Source organism: Homo sapiens, chromosome 4 (genome assembly GCF_000001405.40).
Source record: "Homo sapiens chromosome 4, GRCh38.p14 Primary Assembly".
Taxonomy (NCBI): domain Eukaryota; kingdom Metazoa; phylum Chordata; class Mammalia; order Primates; family Hominidae; genus Homo; species Homo sapiens.
In genome coordinates, this window is record NC_000004.12 from 113,151,212 (window position 1) to 113,174,092 (window position 22,881).

A 22,881-nucleotide genomic window follows, 5' to 3' on the forward strand; every position below is an offset into this window, starting at 1 on the left:
ATGTACCCTTACTGCAATTGCACACATTACTTGTTGTCGTAGTTCATTTGTGTAGCTACAAAAGAATACCCGAAGCTGGGTAATTTATAAAGAAAAGAGGTTTATTTGGATCACAGTTCTGCAAGCTGTACAAGAAGCATTGCACCAGCATCTGCTTTTGGTGAGGGCTTCAGGAAGCTTCCACTCACGGAGGAAAGGGTAGGAGAGCTGGTGTGTACAGAAACCAGGGGGAGGTGCCAGGCTCTTGTTAATGATCAGCCATCAGGGGAACTCTCATAGGAACTAATACAGCAAAAACTCACTCCTTATCACCAGAATGGCACTAAGCCATTCATGAGGGTCCACCCTCATGATCTAAACACCTTTTATTAGGCTCTGCCTCCAATATTGGGGATCACATTTCAACTTGAGGTTTGCAGAGTCAAATATGGAAACCACAGCATTGGTATAAAATATATGTATAAAACATATTTACTATAGAAAGTAGTAGACATTTTCTTGAATTGTTATTCTCTATATCAAGTTGTACATAAAATGCAATGGTTACATTTTAAAGAAATTTGGTGAAGGTAGGCTGGGCACCATGGCTCACACCTGTAATCTCAGCACTTTGGGAGGCTGAGGTGGGAGGATCACTTAAGCCCAGGAGTTCAAGACCCCCTGGGAAACATAGTGAAACCCCATCTCTACAAAAAAAAAAAAAAAAATTACTAGGTGTGCTGGCACACATCTGTAATTCCAGCTACTGGGGGGCTGAGGTGGGAGGATCACTTGAGCCTAGGAGGTGGAGATTGCAGTGAGCCAAGATTACACCACTGCACTCCAGCCTGGGTGACAGAGCAAGTCTCTGTCTCAAAAAAAAAAAAAGAAAAAAAAAAAAAAAGAAAAAAGAAGGAAAGAAAGATTACATTGTAATGTTAAGCATTATCTATTTATTTTTTTTATAATGAGGTATATCCAAACCAAGTATTTGTATTTACTTGAACTATGTAATAACTTTTGAATAATATCTCTTCTGCTATATTTAATAAGATTAGTTCCACTGTCCCTATAGTGGCTTTTTCAAGGTCGCCTGTGTGATGATGGAGCTGGGAATACTCTGGGGAGAGAGTCCTCTTTTCAGCTGTATTTTGCTTCCTTCCCACACAGACATCTGCTGTGCCTCTTACTCACTTTTAGTTGCTGTTTTGGATTTTATGCCCCTTTAATCAAAACTTATTATGCCACAAGATAGATTGACTTGTTTCCTGAATTCTTTATTTTTATTTAAGGGTTTCTCTGTGAAATCTTAGGCATATTATATCACATTTGATTGTCAAAATTTTACGTGTTTGATTTTTCAAAGCTGACCTTCATATCATATTTGTGTGGGCTTATGTGACTATAGTAAAACTTTTTTGTGCCTTTCTTTAATACTTCCTTATAAGAAGTATACGTGTAATTCCAGCAATTTGGGAGGCTGAGGCAGGAGGATCACTTGTGCCCAGGAGTTTGAGATCAACCTGGGCAACACAGGGAGATTCTGTCTCTATATTAATTTTTTTTTAAGTTTGATGGTGTGCACCTGTGGACCCAGCTATTTGGGAGGCTGAGCTGGGAGGAACTCTTCAGGCCAGGAAATTGAGGGTACAGTGAGCCTTGATTGTACCACTGCACTCCAGCCTAGGTGACAGGGCAAGATGCTGTCTCAAAAAAAAATAGTAAAAATCTTACAATGATTGACAGAAGTATAATAATTTCAATGGTGGCTTTGAGCTAATGAATTGTTTCTTAAAGCTATGTGAAAGCCAGCTGTGTAATAGTAGAGATTATAAATTGAAACTGTGTTTTTGATGAGTTTAAGTGTTGCTGACATACAGTTTATTTAAATTTCAGTCTTTTTTTTTTTCTGTACTCTTTACCTTCCTCAGTCATCAATGAGTTCCAAAAGGGGGCTTTGAAGTAAATCATAGATTCTGTTTGATACTGTAGGAATTTCCATATTCTAGTACAGCAACTCTATTAAATAAACACATTGTGTACTTAAATTGGATCTCTCACAAGTCACAAATAATATATTAGAACTAGAGCTGAAGTACCTTTATATTTGCTACTTTTGTGTCATACCTTTCTAGATTATTGGCTTTCTGAAGGATATTAGAAAGCATCTTCTAAGATACCTAGTAAAACAGAAGTACATAGAAAAATTTGTGAAAATCTTTCCTTTTTGAAAACCACTGGTTGTTACATATGAACTTTTCCCCAGAGTTACAAAAGAAAAAGAGTATTTTTCAGGAATAAAAGACATTTAACAATTTTATATTAGTAAGGTATATATTTCACAGATTTGTCTATACCATCTATAATACATAATCATTTCTTTTAAAAAATGGCTTATGATATTCAGCTTTTTATGCATTCTTACAGCATACATTTTGACAGACTAGATGATTAATGATGACATAGGATAAACTGTATTTGGGATTGTGTAATAAACACACAGTATGAAAAGTCTAGTTAATCCTTTATGTCAGCGCCTCCCAAAGTGTACTCTGTGAACTACCACATCAGAAGAATCGCCTGGTGTGTTTTTAAATGATGTAGATGGCTGAGCTTTACTCCAGACCTCCTGAGTTAAAATCTCAGAGGTGAGAGCCAAGAATATTTATTTAACAAGATTAAGCATAGTCTCTAAGTAACCCTTAAGTGCACTTAAGTATGATAACCACTGCTTTGTGTTGCAAGAGGCTGACTTTACTGAAGAGTCAGGGCTGAATATGTAACATCAGCACATAAGAGCATAAAAGTAGAAGAAACCCTTCACATTTTATTAAGCTTCTTCTTATCCAGGTTAATTCAATGTATTGCCAAAATTCTATTTAGAGGCAATTAAAGTAGCTGAGACCACATGGGACATGTGGGAATGGAGGATACTCTGCCAGCAAATGGGCCCTTCTGCATTTCATATGCATCACCTTAAAAGTAAGAAAATATCTGTGCTGTATCACCATAAAGTTTTAAACCATAACACTTAGAATAAATTTAAGTTTCACTTCCAAAAACTAATAATTACTGTGTACCTATATAGAGTCCTTTTATTCATTGTTTAACCTTGTCAATTTCCACTGGAAATCCAAGGAGTAAGGTACTATAAGACAATGTTATGAAAATGTGTCCCCAAATTTTTGAAAAGTCAAAATTTCATTCCATTGTTGAGCAGTCAGCTTGAACAGCAAGATTGTTCTGAATGATCTGATCCTTCCTTGGAATTGAGGGCTAGTACAATATCTTGGCTGAATCCCACACTCCTGCTTAAAATGTCACATAGCACATGAGAGATGATTAACAAAATTCTTCTGGCCTCACTAAAAGTTCTTAATATATCGACTAATGTGAAGTGTATCAAATATTAGATACTCTCTATATTTTAAAATTATATATAAATCTGTAGAATTAATTATTCAGTAAGTTTCTTTCAAGAAAGTAAATAATGAATTCTGTAAGTCTACATGTTCTTTATTCTTGTTTTGTAACATATACATAGATTGAAGAATCAGTCTTTCCTTTGGTATTGATTTGTCGTACCCACCAATCAATTCTTTAAAGAATTAAGCAGTGATCTAGATGGACATGCCAACTGCCATTCTTATTTTAAATGTAACCCAGGCAGTTACAGCTACATGCCAAAACCTACCCATAGACACTGTCAACTAATGGACTGGGCTGCTTCCTGGCCCATCTTGGTCTTAACCACTTCATCTGGCATTGGGACCAGATCTATTCTACCCAGGATCACAAGATAACTTAGAGGTGGAAAACAAGAAGGAAATAAAAAGTAAAGACAGTAAACACATAAAAGAAATGTATGAATGTGTATAGCAAATTCCATATTAATTATCATCAATAATAGCTATCATTTATTGAGCCCCTATTATCTGCTAGATTCTGTAATGGCATACTGCATACCATTTCATTTACTACTGACATTAGCTTTGTGAACCGAGTATTAACATATGCCTTTATTGGATGCCTACTATTCCAATACACTGTTCTCAGGGGTTTATATATATGACATAATCCAATCCACATATTCTATACATTTTATATACTAGGAAATTGAGGCTTTTTTGAGTTCAGGTATTTCCTCAAGGTCACACAGCTCATGGCAAGTGATAGAACCAGGATTAGAAAGGCAGTTCTAAGTCCATTTTATAATGCTGGCTCTTTAAAGAAAGAGATACCTAAAAAAGGAGACATTGGAGAAATTTAAAGTGGGTTCTAAGATTTTCCACAATTGGAAGAAATTACTGACTTGGAAAATTTCAAATAAGATTGTTACTTATGACCCACACTAAAATACGTTTTAGGAAATTAAAAAAATTAAATGGAAGAAAAAAGAAACAATTTTTAATTAATAAATCTATAAGAAAATGAGAAATATTTCATTGACTTCAGGGTTGGAAAGCATAAAAGCAATGGAATAAGAATCTAAAAGTGGAACTTCATACTTTTTGATTTCTATAACAAGCTTGAGAAAATTTTCAAAAACAATGACAAAATGTTATCCTTCTATATAATATTAAAAAATACTTTTGAAACTCTAAAAGGACAAAAAGTGTGAATAGACAAATCAAAGAACAAATGTGGTAGACAATAAATATATGACTAAGTTTTCAAACTCTTCAAAAACGAAAAAGGCAAATGAAAACCACAATGATCTACTTATCGACTAAGCAAAGCAATTTGAGTTTATGATTGTGTTGAGGTGGTCTCTTTGGCAAACATTTGTAATGTCTTTTCAGTTAGCAACTTTCAATGCCTACAGTGTGTGCCAAAAATCTACATTCTTTGACACTGTTAATTCACTTTTAGGAATTTAAACAATGGACACAATCAAGACAGGGACAAAGATGTACATACAAGAGTTTTTATGGCAGTGTTGCTTAAAATAATGAATATTAAAGGCACCAGTTCTGTACAAATGTTTGGGAAATGCTAAAAACAATGATAATCTATCCATAGACTATTATATGATATATAAAATACCTTTTTAAACTTTTGTGTGGTATAGGCTATACTAACTTTGTAATGTTTATTTTTAAAAGTAAAACAGAATATTATTATTTCAACATCATGAAAGCATTACCTACACAAACGTATAGAGTATATGTAGAAAAATTCTTTTTTTTTTGTTTTTGAGACAGAGTTTCACTCCCATAGCCCAGGCTGGAGTGCAGTGACGTGATCACGACTCACTGCAACCTCCGCCTCCCGGGCTCAAGTGATTCTCGTGCCTCAGCCTCCCAAGTAGCTGGGACTACAGGTGCACGCCACCACATCTGGATAATTTTCTGTATATTTAGTAGAGATAGGGTTTCACCATGTTGCCCTAGAACTCCTGAGCTCAAATGATCTGTCTTCCTTGACCTCCCAAAGTGCTGGGATTACAGGCATGAGCCACAACACCCAGCCTTAATGTAGAAAAATTCTTGAAGAAAACACATCAAAATATGCAGTGTTAAGTTTGACTAATGGGATTATGGTTGCTAACCGTAATTTTGTTTTCTTTTATAGTCATTTTCAAATGTCCTATATATATATATATATTATATATATAAAATGTATGTGTGTGCGTGCACACTTTCACAGTAGAACATGAAATCATCATATATAAAAATATATGTGTGTGTGACACACAAACAGATTTGTCTACTTCCATTACATAAAGGCTAGGGAAGGCTATATTTTACATATATATCCTTTTTAAGAGAAGGGAGATTGTAAGAGCAAAAAAGGCATGAAAGGGCATAGACATTTTGTAGTTTTATACAAATACTTTTATGAAATAAGTATTTCTATGTTTCTTAAGGTTTTATAACCTAAAGGTTTTTTTTTTAATAATCCATGCTTTAATAGCTCTTCAATCAATTTGGGAGAGAAAACTTATTATGGGTTTCATTTCTACTACTTAGTTTTTACTGTGAAAAGATTTAGTGTTATAGTTTCTTAAAGGTGTAATCAACATTTAAACAGCAAGTATGGTGATTAATTAAGAACAGCTGAGAGAGGTTTCATCTATCTTGGAAGGGGTCCAGGTTTAAATCCCACTCAGGGAGATATGTCAATATGAGCTAGTAACAGTCTACGTGCTGTTATAGAAACAGAGGGACAAATGTTGTCTTTGAAGCCTACCATTGCTGTGAAGCTTAAAAAAATTTTTTTCTTTGCATGTTAATCATGATAATTTTGATAGAGATATTGCTCTGGATTCACTTACTGAGTATAATATTGACACACTCTTGAAATAATATAACCATACCCTTAAAAGTCACAGCTCTTGGGTTAGCAACATTAAAGAAAAGAAATCTTGGTATTCCACAGGTGGCAATGCCACATGGTTCAAACTTTGGGCCCTGCCCCTAACCAAAAAAGGGAATTGAGCATCAAGGGAGATCAGAACATGAGAGTTGAGCCAGGAATGTGACTGCAGTAGCTTCATCCCAGGCAGGAAGCAGCAGCCACTCCTATATGTCGGTCAACAGTGGAAAGGTATTTAGCACCTTTGGGGGAACTTGGGGAAGTAGTAATGAATGGTGGTCTCTATGGTAGGACTTACCAGTTATCAATTTCGGGTCTGCCACTTCTTACCCCAAAGTATACAGATGAATCATTTAACCTTATGAGACCTTGGTTTTCTCATTTGGGAAGCTTAAGAAGATTAAATAAGATTATAAATGTGCTTGGAATATAGTAAAGTTAGCTATTAATATTGTGGTAAAAGGTGTGAGAACAAAATATGTAAGGTGCAAGGTCTCATTCATTCCCTCAAGGAGCTGACAGTCTAGTTGAATAGCCAGAGGGTATACACAAAAGCAAATTGTATATTGTAGAGTCTCTTGAGTAGACAGATGACTTAAAAGAAAAAGCAAGTTTAGATGGCATGTAGCATCCTAATTTGATGTTATGTCAGTCCATGTTGTGTAGGAAAAAATTCAAACATTTCAGTGAGGAATCACTGAAACTGAATAAATACATATGAATCATGTAAAAATGAAGAATTGCCTTGCTTGCTCAATGCACCTTTTAGCAAGTGTTTATCTTAAGACATAGTGAACATCAGTATAAACCCAATCAAAACACATATGAGTAATTCTCTTACTTGAAACCATGATCAGAAGAGATGGCTTTTGGTCAGACCAAATCTTTGTCATGACTACATTATTAGTACAAAGTTAATAGTTATATCTATGAAAAAGATGTTATCAGTGGAGGAAACTCAATTACTAATATATCCTATGATTATCATATGTGAAAAAAAAATAAACCAAATCAAAGTGGAGCATCTCCAGCTGAAGGCAACTCTATCTTGGTGGAATGCCACAGGGTTTTAAGGTAGACCCAGGTTCTCACCACGCTGCACATTATATGCTGGGCTCCCATTTTGAAGGTTGCCAATGAGAAATGGCACAACCTAAACACCTTTTATTTGAAATTCTTAACATCTCGTAGTTTCACAGTCTTGCCCTTTAATTACTGAGACAAGGGTAGCCTGCTACCCTGTTCTTAGTCAGGGTTAGAGATGAGGTATCTATGGTGTTAATTTGGCATTTCAACTAAGTTAAATTTGGTTAATGAACAAGATCTTTCTGGGTACAGTTTACTGCTTTGCCAAAAAAAGTTCTGTTATCTTTTCATATATCCCACAATAATCTAACTCTTCTTTAAGTGATTTTTGAAGTTTATTTTTTGAGTAATTAAAGCTAGCGTAATTTGTATTTATATTAACTGTTGTCAGCTTTACATAAAAAAAGGTAAGGTAATATCCTCCCCAGGGTTCTGTTATCATAGTAATCATCATTATTGGCTGATATATTTTAGGCACTGAATTAGGTTTTGGGTATTCTAAGAATTATAAGGCATGGTTTCCACCTTCAAGTAAATTGAAATTTTGTTCTGGAAGTAGCATATATGACTTCCTCTCTCTCTCTTTCTCTTTCCTTCCACACACACACACACACACACACACACACACACACACACTAGTTTATATTATATTACAGGTAGATATTTGTGTAAAAATGTATATGTAAAATGAAATATATAGACTCCCTATGACTGAAGAGAGATACATTTTATATACATAGTAATTATAAAGAAAACAAACTTTCTCCTTCGTATCTTGGCCAGAATAATTTTGACATACCAATGATCTCTTTTATTTAGAAGGTTAATTAATCTTACTGTAATTACAGGGGATACTGAAATATATTACTGCATGTTTTACATTAAAAAATACTGAGTAGTCAGTAATTGCCCTTTCATGGATAATTTATACAATAATTAAAGCTTATATATTGCTTCACATAAAATCTTTTTCCTCACAGAGAAGAGTAAAATTATAGTTTCTTATTTCTTTATTTTTTTTTTCTTTTTGTTGAGATGGAGTCTCGCTCTGTCACCCAGGCTGGAGTGCAGTGGCACGATCTCGGCTCACTGTAAACTTTGCCTCCCGGGTTCAAGTGATCTCTTGCTTCAGCCTACTGAGTAGCTGGGATTATAGGCACCCACCACCACGCCCGGCTAATTTTTATATATATATATGTATTTTTGTAGTAGAGATGGGGTTTCACTATGTTGGCCAGGCTGGTCTCAAACTCCTGACCTCAGGTGATCTGCCTGCCTCGGCCTCCTAAAGTGCTGGAATTTCAGACGTGAGCCACTGCACCTGGCCTATAGTTTATTTCTAAAAAAAGAGTACTAGTGTTCCTATGTAGTTAATATCAGCAAGAATCTAGTTTCTTTCTGTATTTAATTTATTTAGTAATGTCATAATTGTCATTTATCTGTTAACCTAATTAAAGTTAGAGAATGTCGAGCTGCAGAGCCTGTCTAGTCAAGTGTATTACTAAATTCATTAGTCATCCATGACTTCAGCTGTATGATAGTAATGATACAGACACACTTTACTCATTAACCCTTAGAAAGAGTTCAGCATTGTTTGATTTTATTGTGGATATTTGATAGAATTATAAAGGAAACTTAAAAAAATTAATAAATAGAGACAGGGTCTCACTATGTTGTCAAGGCTGGTCTCAAACTCCTGGAGCTCAAGTGATCCTCTTGCTTCAGCCTCTCAAAGTGCTAGGATTACAGGCATGAGTCACCACATCCAGCGGGTAAAGGAAACTTTGAAAAACAAATGTAATCTTAGGCAATGAGTTTCAGGTGAATTAATAAGAGCAGATATAAATTTTGCTAATCAAGGTTTGAAACCAAGTGTTAAAATTTAGTAAGTCTGCAAAAAATTTACTTGATCCCCCAAATTTTCACTAGTTTAATTCATATCGACCAATGCTGCTTGACATTCCTATTGGCCAATTTCACCCTGTTGAACATCTTCCCTTATATTGTTTTTCCCTTATATTATATTTCCAGAAATACTTCTCCATCTATTCTGTGTCAGGTACTGTGCTGGACAGTGGAAATAAAAATGAATAAGTCATGGACTATTTCTACCTTGGAGGGCCAGGCCAACTGGGGATATAGACACGTAAACAGATGAATTTGGACCCCACTTGAGCCATGCACAACATCTAGCACAGTGCTATGCTTCTGACTCATTGTCAACACATATTTATAAACGATTGAATGTTCAGGGTGTTGGGGACCCCGGAATAAATGGACTTGGTCAAACTTGAGGGTAGATTTAAGGCAGGGTTCTGAAGAAGCTATCCTTGCCTCTGGGAAATAGACTCACAGGGCCCACTTAATACAAATTCCTGTAGAAGTCAAATAATAAAAGACAACTAGTAAAGAATTCTTCATTGTTCCTTAAGCCTGGCTTAAGTCTGACTTTTCTTTTAAAAGAAGATCTTGGGCATCTGGGCTAAAGTTTAGTTCCATGAGATGAATTAGCTAACCTTGCTTTTGTTTTTAGTTGTGTTTAAATCAGGAATTTCCTTACTTTTCAAAATTCGCTCTAGAGTTGATGCCAGTACTCTTACACCAACAAATCAAGAATTTGTTTTGAAAGCTGCCTCAGAAGACGTTCAGATATTCTTTGAAATACAGTAATAACTACGTGGATTTTTGTTGACAGAGTTCCAACAGAAGAATTTTGCAATATAAGCTAAGTTTTTTTTAAAAGGCAGTGCAAGCTACAAATACTTGATTTGCTCATCTTTTTTCTACTCCATGTGGTATGTACTATAATTAATCAAACACCTACATTTTCAGCCAATGCTATCTTTTACATTTTAGTGTAAAATTATGTAAGTGCTATACCTTGCATAGAATTCAAATTGAATAGCCCAAACATTCCTGACAATTACAGTTCATAGCACAATGGTAAATTTAGAAAGTTACAGCAGGTCACATCCAATGAGGATAAAGTGGCCTCTCAGTTGTGCCCTGGTCTTATGGGAAAAATAAGAAAATGTCAGCTGCATGATATTAGTATTCTGAGCTCATGAGAAAACTCCTGTACAAAATTTTGTTTTAGTCTCGTGTGTGTGTGTGTGTGTGTGTGTGTGTGTGTGTGTGTGCATGTGCATGTATGCGCTGCAATTCCTTATTTTATTCTCACTGCCTGGTATTTCATTAAATATGTTGATGGGTCAGCATTATTCCCTTCCAGGGGCATTACAAGAGGCCCTTCCTTATTCCTAGGACATTCATGAGCAGAGAAATGGGAAGGAGTGAAGCGAAATCCAGTGTCTACAGAAAAACTGGGCCATCTCCCAGAGGTCACTCTATGGCCTCTATCTTTAGTCCATGCCCGTCTCTTGGACTTTTTAGCCTTGCATTTTTAATTCCCTACTCTACAGTGACAGCACTTCAAGTTCAATCCGGTCAAAACCAAACTGTGTTCTTCTCTCCAATTTTAGGGTATTCTGTTCCCCTAAATTATTGATCTTTATTGAAAGTGTCACTTATTACACGCAAAAGCTAGAAGTCTCCAACTTTTCCCTAGTTTCTCCTTTTCCATAAACTTTCAGAGTCAATTTCCCCCAAGTTTTACAGCTTTTTTTTTTCTATATATGACTAATACTTTGTTTTCACATGTCCCTGATGACACTGCTTATCCTCATCACATGCTAGAGTGGTAATTTTAAAATGGACATTCTGATCTTGCCTTTTCCTGTCTTTTACTTATGGTGTAACACTCAATCTCCCTATTAGGACATACAAAACATTAATGGTCTGGGCCCTACTTTACTTTTAGAGTTTTACTTCTTTCCTGTTTCCAATATGATCTTTATAACTCCTTATACTGAATTTATAGTTTTCTCTATACTGTGTTCTTTCGTGCCCCTATGACATTGCACTTGCTATTCCCTGGGCTGGCTCTGTTTTCCACCTGACTTATCAGCAGGAACCTTTATCAAACACTATATTGCAATCTCTATTCTAAATGTAAATAGTAAAACAAGTTTGTAAAACAAACAAACAAACACCTATTGCTTAGACTACTGCCTCTACATGGATCTCCCTGGGTCTACTTTTCCCACTTCTGTTCCTGGTCTATCTTGTAGCTAAAGGTTTTTTTTTTTTTTTTTTTTAAACTTCAAAGATTATAAAATCTTTGAGGGGATGAATCATGTTTATTTCTTCTACATTCAATCCCTAGCATCTAACACAGCGCCTGGTACATAGTAGGTACTTCAAAAATATTTCTTTGATTCTCATCTCAGCTAAATAACTCATTGTTAAGGACAGATTAAATTATTTCAACTATTTATCATAAAATAACCTGCTGTTTGACTGATTTATTTTCGCTTGAGAAATTGAAAGCTATAATTTTTTTCCAGTAGGTTTACATATTTAGATAGATACAGCTAGATCCTTCCAGTAATTTAATCAAGTCAACTCAGTGAGTTAAACTGGGAAGCAATTTTCTTCTTATACAGTACACATATTACATATTCTTTAGTCTCTTAAAAAATTTTATGTTAAAAAGATTTGTTGACACTGTTGTGCACCAGTGGGCTGGCATGATGGGAGTGAGAAAAGGGATGCAAAATGCCTTTATATATATCTTTCAGTATAATGTCGACTTATTAGAATTGGAATTTTTCCTTCTAAAGCTCACCATTTGCACTCAGTGTCCATGTAAATTGTCACAAATATGCAAAAGATGCTGAAAGCTGTGCATCCCCATTTGCGACCCACATACTTTGGAGAATGGGGTGAATGAATAAGTTCTCAAAAATTATATACACATTAGAAAAATGGGCTTTTGTCATCTTACAGATGACAATGGACTTTTTTTTTAAATTAAAAACCAAGCTTTGGCCGGGCACGGTGGCTCACTCCTGTAATCACAGCACTTTGGGAGGCCGAGGCGGGTGGATCATCTGAGGTCAGGAGTTCGAGACCAGCCTGACCAACATGGAGAAACCCCATCTCTACTAAAAATACAAAATTAGCCTGGCATGGTGGTGCATGCCTGTAATCCCAGCTACTCCACAGGCTGAGGCAGGAGAATCGCTTGAACCTGGGAGGCGGAGGTTGCAGGGAGCTGAGATTGTGCTATTGCACTCCAGCCTGGGCAACAAGAGTGAAACTTCGTCTCAAAAAAAAAAAAAAAAAAAAAAAAAAAAGAAAACCCAGCTTTATGGAGATATATTCCCATATCATACAATTCACCCATTTATAGTATATTATCCAATGGTTTTTAGTATGTTCACAGAGTTGTGCGACCAACACCACAATAAATTTCAGAACATCTTTATCACTCAAGAAAGGAACTTTGTAACCATCAATAGTCATTCTCCATTTCTCTACCCCCTCCCCCTTGTCCTCCCCATGGCATCCTTTGGCCCCAGGCAATCACTTACCAGTTTTTCATCTCTGTATGTTTGTCTATTCTGGACATTTCTTTTATATCAACAATAAGCTTAAATAACAGTTTAATAAAAGGGACTAGGCTGGGTGCGGTGGCTCACACCTGTAATCCCAGCACTTTGGGAGGCCAAGGCGGGAGATATTTAGGCAAGTAGAGTCAGATGGTCACAGTGTGGTTAAGCTATAATTAAGTGATATCTCCTAGGAAAATCAATCACATATGTATATATATTAGACTGTTACAAATGAAAAACCAGTGTTTCCACGTGCATCTTCATGGGGCCACACTAAGATCAACAGTGTGAGAAAATGTACCATGATAGAAAAATATATGCAAGTTCTTTTAAAATAGTCTCCGTAGTTTAAGTAATTGTGAAGTTTTAAGAATCTATTTTTTGTTCAATCCTGAATAATTTAATACTAAACAAGCAATCTACTTTTTAGTGTGTGCAGCCCTTGGGGTGCGGTCAGCACCTCATCTGTGTTGTGTCACGAAGCTGCTTCTGATTGAGTGATGTCTGCTTCAGAGCAGATGGTCTCTGAAGCTGCAGAATAAGGAGACCAATGGGGATAAAAATGTGGTGCCTACCTCAAGGGGGCAAGAGTAAATTAACACTATAAGATGCGGATGCGTAGCATAATGAAAAATTGATGAAAGGTTTTTTTCACTTGGTTGGGTTTGTTTTTCATATCCTGACAGTTCTAAAAGCCTTGAAGGAGGCTAAGACCTAATTCAGGTTCATGTATCCTAATCCTTAAGTATTGCAGTGGGATGAGCTCTAATATATCTTTTTCTCTAAACATCCTGTAATATTTTAACATGCTGATTAGGGAATGAAAAGAGTTTTGTATAGAGAATATTTCTTAAAGAAAGAATTAAATAAACTACTGTTACCAAAGGATCTCAAAAGTTCTCTCTTTTTTCTCTCGACCCAAATGTTGTTATAGGTGGTTGTAATTCATTTATAAAAGCAACTTTTTTTTTGATGACCAGTGATGATCCAAAAGGAAATTCCTTTGGATATTTGTGTACAATATGTAAAAACTCTGTCAGCTTTTCCATGCTTGGGCCTATATTCATTTTGGGGCATGTTGACTTTTAGATGCTGGCAGAACATTTTTTACAGAGCTATCTAGCTAGTTGAAAATTGGGAAAGAGATTGGGTCTGTGATACAAATTGTTTTAAAAATAAGTTTTTCATTATTTTATACCCAATTAATACCAGTTGGAGATCCTAAAGCAATAATTGAGAACTATTTAGAATTCAGTCATATATAGATGCTGTGGGTATTATTAAATATCCAATGTGGAGCTGTAAGATTTGATTATTTCTATTGCTGGCCTGAAGAAGTACAGATTTCCATGTTACTTTGGTTATTAAAAATATTAGGGCAAATTATCTGGAAACCATAATAGTCAACATAGGACTTGTATAATGTTTTGATTTCCTTTACATTGTCAGCATTTTGAACATAAAACAGTAAGCAGAACTTTTCAAATATATCTGTTCAAACAGTATGGTTAGAGGTTGTATGTGGAATTCAACTATGATGTTTTAAGATACCTCCACACCAAGAGGAACCAGTAACAAAAATGAGGGAATCATATTCTTCTAGTTCTTATGTTATTCTCTAGAAGTATGATAGACTCTTTGGGAAGGAATATTAACTTTTGCTACAGAGTTTAATGGCTAAAGAAACTAAGGTGCTTACCTGACTGAAGCAGTAATGTCTTAAATCTGTGTAGCTGAGGCCTCTCAAAGAGTATCTTATTTCTTGAAAAAATCTGAAGCCTTAGATAGGTGTGGTAAGTTTTAACATGGACCTCAAACTGTTATTTAATCTGACATCTGACCTAAAGCTGTAGCAAAATGTTTCCCTGTTACTCTGATTTTCTTAGCAGAAATTTGGAAATGTTGTGATACAAGTCACAAATATTTTCATCTATAAACTTACCATGTTCCTATTCAAATTCAGAAAATACTGACGTGTTCAGTGTTGGAACTTCTGAGTTCTGTAGGCATTTCAGAGTTATCATGCCTGGAGTACAAGTAATCAAAACCTATTGATTTTGTTCCTTACGAGAACTTTAAATTTTAAATTCACCATAAAGTTCAATAGGAAACTAACAGAATAATAAACACCTAAGAAAGTTTTCACCTATCTTTGTTAAAGTTCCCATTTTAGTGAAAGATTTTGTTGCCTCATTGTCATTAACATTTTAGTAACTGGCATAGTTATAGAGACATTTTATGAAGCCAAACTAATATCAACACAACAAAGTTATCTTTTAAGTCACACTTCTATTATGTCATGAAATACCAAATACAGATTTCACATTTCTTCAGTTTAATAATTCTTCAAAAATGAGCGTATATTTACACTCATATAAGTGTGTATGTATATATGTATATATATATATGCATACATACATAAGCACTTTCTAAAGTTTTAAAAGCACATAGAGAATGTGAAGTATGAAATAGTTATCAAATAGTTATCAAAGATATTTCATCAGAAATATCTTTTCTAGTTTGTGGTTTTTGTTCCTACTAGTTTTTGTTTTTTTGGTTTTTTTCTTTTTGGTAGTAATTCTCATTCACTGGAGGATAGCATCACATTATTAATATTTTGATTCAATTTTCAGAAAAGTAAATGCCATAAAAAAATGAGTATTCAGAACTTTTTAATGTATAAAATTGTCTCTGATAACTTACTTCACTTATATTTATCCCGGAAAATTTAACAACTGAGATCTCTGAACCAGATCTGGTCTTCTTGAATTTGTAGTAAACATGTTGAAGAACAGGGGAGTAATGCTATTTATACAATATATACCAAGGATAATAATTCATGTATAATCAAAGAGAATTATGCAATTTTTGTAATTACAAAGCCTCATGAATATCAGAACAACTAATAAAAAATTATCCAGAGTTTGATTCTTAGTAAGCATTCTTTTGAGCTAAAGAACAAAACTCTATGTATTTAGTAATCTGCATTGTCTCTTAGACTGTACCATAAATATACAATACAAATTTCATTAAAAATATCACATAATATAGTCTGCATTTAAAAATTGCCTCCAGTGTGAAAAAAAGATAATGCTTTTGAATACTAATTTTTAAACCTATTTACTTCTCTGTGATTTTTGTAATCAGTTTATAAATTAGGAATAACTTATTTTTCAGGACTACTCACATTTAGCTAATTTTTAAATTTTTTATAAAGATGGGTTCTCACTCTGTTGCCTAAACTAGGGTCACCTTTTTTTTTTTTTTGGAAACAGAGTTTCGCTCTTGTTGCCCAGGCTGGAGTGCAGTGGTGATCTTGGCTCACTGCAACCTCTGCCTCCCGGATCCGAGCGATTCCCCTGCCTCAGCCTCCCAAGTAGTTGGGATTACAGGTGTCTGCCACCGTGACTGGCTAATTTTGTGTTTTTAGTAGAAATGGGGTTTCACCATGTTGGTCAGGCTGGTCTCAAACTCCTGATCTCAAGCAATCCACCCTCCTCAGCCTCCCCAAAGTGCGGGGATTACAGGTGTGAGCCACTGCGCCCGGCCAGGTCACCATCTTTTAAAGTAAATATTTTATTTAATTATAGCACACATACAGAAAAATGCATAAATTATAAATGCTCATCTTGATATGTAGGAAGTGTACATACCTGTTAAACTGCACCCAGAACTAGAATGTAGAATTAGAACATTATCAGCAACCAAAAGCCCCTTTCTGATTGTTTCCGAAACTACTACTGATTTCTAACACTATGGATTTGTTTTGCCAGTTTTTGAACTTTAATAAATGGAATAAAAGACATGTCCTTTTTTGTGTCTGACTTGTTTTGCTTAGCATTATCTTTGTGAGATCTATTGATGGTGCATATAGATATGGTTCATTCATTCCTATTCCCACTGCTGTAAAATATTCCAATTTTACTCTCTTTTAAAATACAAGAATTTTAGAAAGGAATTCATGAATCTTGACACAACCTTGCAAAATAATCTTAATTAATGCTTTGAAAGAGATAGAATTGGTATGCTGTAGGTGGTTCTTATTTTTCATGGTTGGTATCTTAGGGAAAGCGTTGATAAGTGATATAATTTAGCTAGTGTGCTAGCAAAAATTAGTGTTAAAATGTAATACTAAGTTAAAGGAAAAATTGCTGTCTTTATTTAAAAAGGAAATTTCAAATAATCTCTCACTTAAAATATTTAGGTAGAATTTATCTGTTTAGTTAAACTTAGATATTGTTATGATTCCAATTCTCAATTTTGTGTGAATAGTTATCTTAAATAACATTCAAAAGTAAAAATATAAACACTTAAGTTTACTCTTTCTTCTTCCCCTAACTAAAGCATTTATAGAGTTCACTTTTATGTCTGAACCAATTTTCTTAACACAAAGGCCATTGGATTAAGAACACTCTTTTGAGAAGTTGCATTTACTCTCTCTGAAGATTAGGGGACCTGTCAGTAATTTTCATTTAGTAGCAATCTAAAGAGCTGTTGAAGGACACCATATATGTAGGTTAACCTGCATGTTTGAGCCAGAGTGTACAAATTTATGGTTTATAAATTGGTAGCAGCTGAATAGAAATTGTCAAGTGGGATTTTGCAGTGTAAAGTGTTTTATATCACTTATGTGTTCTGACTGCAAGAAAGTAACTTCTGCAATTCTTTCTAAAAAATCCTAGTATATCCAGCATGCAGTTCTTGGCTGAACCCAAATTGTTGGTTTCGACAAGACAGCAATAATAATGTGAGCTAATGAAAGAGCTGAATTAATTAAACAATAGAGCAGTCCTTGGACAGAAGTATAAATCTGTAGGTACAAGCATTCAGATATCACAAAGAGAGTTCTCTGCAGCATCTTCATCACTGGTGACAGACCACACCCAGTTCTGGTTCATTTTGTCCTTTTATACCTGTACATCTCAGTGTATTTTTAAGTACTCTGGTGTAGCTTAGGCCTGCTGGCAACACAGTAACGCCAGGAATCTTCACATTTAAAAAAAGTCATGTGTGTGCATCGATAATTTGATTTATTATTGTTATTTTGCATTTATCCCTCACAAGAAAAGCCACTAATATAAAACAAACTCAGTAAGTGTCCTCTGTGCCTGTCAGTGGGGTAAGCATGCTCAAATCATCATATTTTTTCCTTAGCAATTCTATAAAGTACATTTATTTTTTTGATAAGGAAATTGAGACATACAATGACCCAAGATCGGACAAGTCACAATTTGCTAGACATGGATTTTAACTTATCCTACATGCCTAGGAAGAGACCTAAAAAATTGTAAAAATGTCCCTTATTTTCCTGGTATTCTTATTAAAGTTTTTCCCTTCAAGTTACTTTACTAGGTTTTATTTATTTTGTATTGCTATAAAAACGCAGATCTCAGAGTAGCCAGGTAAATGACCCTGTTTTTACAAAGGAATGACTGCTTCCTAAGAAAATAAGCAGATTCCTCAAATTCCACAAGGAGCCTGTGCTTTACGTAAGGTTAGCCAGTCAGCAAATATGTGTGTAGGGCGCACCATAAGCCAGAGACTGTGACGGGGGAGGTGTTCAGTGTCACTCTTTTAAGGCTAGTAGGGACTGCTGGTTGGGTCACCGTTTTAGACAAGTGGTTCTCAAACTTGAATAGTCTATTGATTTCTTTTAAAGTATATAAAAAATTATGACCTCCAGTGTTATTTTTATTATAGTGTTAAGTATTAAAAACATAAAGCCACATAAAACTTCTTAAATTCTTGTGCCACTATAAAAAAGAAACTTTGACAAATTAAGTAAAACTTATGTAAGTTTTATAATATTATTCAAATAAAGGGCATAAATTTAATACAATGAATGGAAATGTCTGAAACTAAATTTAACATATTGTGCTTAGTAATAAAAAAAGAAATAACCTCAGAGTTCTGTATTTAGTTTCTGAATTTGACTCCAGTAAAAATAATATAAAGAATACCTTTTTTGTAAGTATGTTGTACAAACTATTCTTAATAACTTTAAGGTGTTGTTTCCTACTTCAAGCTAATAAAACTTATAGCTATCAGAGAATAGCTTTAAGAGAATATAATCTTTGAAAGCTCTCTTTATTTGCTTGGAGAGGAAATTACTATTGGGATAGAATTGTGTACGCAAACCAATAAAAGCTAAAATTGAAAACTGAAAAAATGTTTCACTGTGGATTTTCTATTACACTCACTGCTAATGGTCAGTGCACGTTGGACTATATGAAGATAGCATCTGAGCATATGTTAATATGCTACTGACTGCTGCTGCTCAGGCACTTTTGGCTCGTCATGTCCTGCCATGTATGATGAACAGATTCTCTGACCATTCTTGTCTCTGTACTACAGCAAAATGTTCTGTCTATTATGCATCTGTATATCATTTGGACTTCACTTGTTATGTACTGAGTTATAAACACAAAGACATATACCGAAGTTATATGTTTATACTCACATATAGGGTAGCCATGTAGAGGACCTGGAATATGCTAATATTTTCTTTATTAGGTTATTATTGAAACGTAAGCACAGAATTAAAGAATTAAAAAACTTGTAGCAAGCTCATGGGCCCCTGTGGACATGCCCCTAGAGCCTTTGGGTCAGCACTCCTTGGGGATATAATGTGGCTCTATGAATGCACATTCCTCCCTGCCTTTCATGTCCACACTGCTGGGTGCTAAGAAAGTTGTTCTGTGTTTCTAATATTCAGATACAAGACAACATACAGAACTGTGTCAAGAATAATTTAATGGGAAATTTTTCTTTCTTGGCCTGAGATGTCACTCCAGGGTTATAAAGGGGGCAAGTTTTAATGACATCCATCTGTTGCAGATTAAAATAGGTGGGGCTCAGCATTGGAATTCCTTGTCCAGAGTTTGACTATGGGCATCAGCACAATTTGTTTTAGGATTTGAGAGTCCTAGGGACATAAAGCAGCAAAGCAGGGAGAGGATAGTCTTACATTTGTCTGAGACTTTCTTCCAAAGAAGTTGCTTTTGCCTCATTTTCTCTTTATTTTGCTTTTATGTGTGAAATCTCCTGGTTGAGCAAAGAAAACAGTCTATTTTAAAAGCATGCTTTTCCTCCTACTTATACTTGATTTTAGAACTCTTGCTTTTATCATAATCAGTTGGGAAACACAGCATGGTAAAAATTGCTGTATCTCTCTCCCTGAATGTTTGAATCCTCTTTCATCTCTGTGTTGATTGAAGATAACCAGGCTAACCACTGTTTATCCAAAGCGCTTGTGTCAAGGGCCTTAATCACAGATTGACCTCATTGTAGGGTACGATGTGCTTGTGTCTATGTGGAAGGGAGAGAAGAATATGTATTTCTATGCAGGTATATAAATTTGGGCTTCAATAATGTCAATATTCATACATAACTTTTAAAACCTCATTTTATTTCTGTCTTTGGAATTTACATTCTTGGACCATTTTATGATAATATTTCCATTTAATGCATTTTCTCACTTTGGGGGAAACCAAATCCCTTAAAGGGGTTCTAGAAGAATTCAACTTACCCAAAAGTCTCCTATGACTCAACTGCTGAAGTGGTCTTTGGCAGAATGGCTCAGATATTACATTTCCATAGGACCCAGACCCTTCAGAACACTGGGAGCATTGTTTGCTAAAATTCTAAGGATTTGCTATAACTTTGACATGCATTCACTTTTTAAAAGTTTGATGAAAAGAGAAAACCAGTTATGAAAACTTTTTGTTACTCTATAACGGCAAAAGCAATCCTCAATGTCATGTCCAATCCCCAGAGAAGATTCAAAGATGGTCTATTATATACTCCTCAGCAATACCTGAGGCCCCATCAGACCATCATTGCCACTCCAGGCTGCTGCATTGGTGTTTCTAGGTGTCTCTTCATTCCTTTGGTGTCAGGCTCTTCTTCTGGCTCCACCTGTTCACAGCATTCTTTTTTATAGGAACAATAGAGCAACCTGATCTTTTGCTGAGTTTAATCATGTTAAGCATGTAGAGGGAGACAGACAATTGGCTTCTTAATGCAAAGCATCCTTTATCACCTGTTTCCTCATTCTCACATGAATGTGTTTCTAAGTAGTTCATCTCAGATTGGCTCTTAATTTTCTAGGTGCATATAGAGGGGTGATAGTTGTGAGGGTAGGGATGGCAGTCAAGAATTTTCTCTCCAGCTGAGGCACTTTATTTAGCAAGTGCCATGATTTACAGAGTAAATATGTAGACCAAAGGCATAACTGGGGTTAATGCAGGTGAAATAAACCTAGAGCTCACAGGCTAGGAATCTGTAGTAATATTCACTGTGATACTTTGAAGGTGTGGGATAGGATAGCAGATAAAACTTACAGCTCTGAACTGATAAACATAAATTAAATCTCAGGTCTTCCACTAAATAAATGTGTGTAAATACGTGACTCTGGAAACTTTCTAAATCTCTTTCCTCATCTATTAAATGGGCATAAGAATAGTTTTTTTCTCATAGTATTGTTGTATTTGTGATATAATACATGTGACTCCTTGAGCTCTGTTCCTGACCCACTAAACCCTCAGTAAATGTTACCTATAAGCATCTGCTTTATGTACAAATTGGAAGTACTTTCTAGGAACAACCTCTAATATAATATATAGCACACAGATTTGTTTTGGAAAAACTTTATATACAGGAATAATATGTTCGTATTTTATATCTGTAACCTAATACTATTTAATTTTTGTTGTTTTATAGTAAAATTAATGTTTCTTGTGAGATATTAATATAACATAATACACAGTATTATAACTCACTTTTAAGTGCTGTGACAACAAACCTGAAGGTAGGAAATCCTCTTGGAATTTAGCATATGCTGCAAACAGCAAAATAAATTTCATAGAATAGGCATTTAAAAACGAGTCACAGTTCAGTCGCTGCAGCATTGCAGATATTCTTGGGGGCACTCTGCCATTGGTACAGACTTCAGGAAGGATGAAGAGTGAAGAACAGTGTGATATTAATCATATGATGATGGATTTCTAAAGAATCAGGGCATGAATTCTGGATGTATAGATTTCAGTCACACCTTTCAACTCTTAATAAATAATCTATCTCATTTATAAACATATAAGCCACTTGGTATTTGGGTTAAAAGTGAGGTAACTTAGTTCTATGGTTTTCAGTCTTTCCATGTGTAAATCATTTTAACAGTATGCAAGTAATTCCATATTTGAAACTCCCAGAGAAGATACTTCCATTTCTATCTCTGTACATCACCACAGATCATAATAAATAGCTCTGACCGAGTATGCCAAGAGGTTCTTGCCAAGTACTTTGTTTGAGGGAGGGAGGCAGTGTAGCCTAGTGAGGAGAATGTTTGATTAAGAGTCATCAAACCTTCATCTCAATTCCTAATAGGTAAATTGTGTCCCTTTTCATGCCTCCATTTTCTCTTTAGTCAGATATTATATGACAAAAAATTATAACAGTTATGCAGGTGTCTTGGAACCCAACAAAAGTTTATCATCGTTATTATGTTAAGGTTTAAAAGTCAGACTTTATAACCAAGCCAGGGGGCCGTGTGATTGTAACTGTGCATCTGGAGCAACTCTCTTCGGACTTTTCACGGGCAGAATTCAGCTGAGTCTCCCAGCATCTGATTTTGAGAGGAGTGTGGGAAGATGAGAAACTTAAAAAGCAGTTTCCATCCAGAGTGATCATCTTTACCAAAAGATTTTAGTCTGGTATTATGTCAGGTGGTTTAAATTTAATCATGTTTATCCAGAATCACTGGGATCACAAAATTTGCATCAGCCCAGTCCACACCTGCGAAGTAGTGCTATCCCCTTTCCTCAAAGCACCCTCGGAGCTTTCTGTTATTCCCTTCTAATGAGACCAGATGACTGCCAAGTGACCCATACTCAGTGTTCTCTCTCAGAAGCATCTGAAAACCAACAGGAAAGAAAGAGAAAGAAAAAAACCCAGTAGCTTTAATTTCTTTAGCTTTCTGATTCTTTTTTGACTTGAGGTTAGCTCAGTATAAAGTCACTAGAATCTTGAAGCTAAAATGAATGAG

General features: G+C 35.2%; 1 protein-coding gene and 1 non-coding gene across 67 annotated transcripts in view; both read left to right on the forward strand.

Annotated features, from left to right (window-relative positions):
• The window catches only part of ANK2 (ankyrin 2), a 678,115-nt gene that overhangs the window by 445,590 nt on the left and 209,644 nt on the right, over positions 1-22,881 (forward strand). The gene's annotated exons all lie outside the window — the stretch shown is intronic.
• On the forward strand, positions 1,071-1,151 carry MIR8082 (microRNA 8082). Its single transcript, NR_107049.1, has one exon. It is a non-coding gene; the product is annotated as a microRNA 8082 (primary transcript).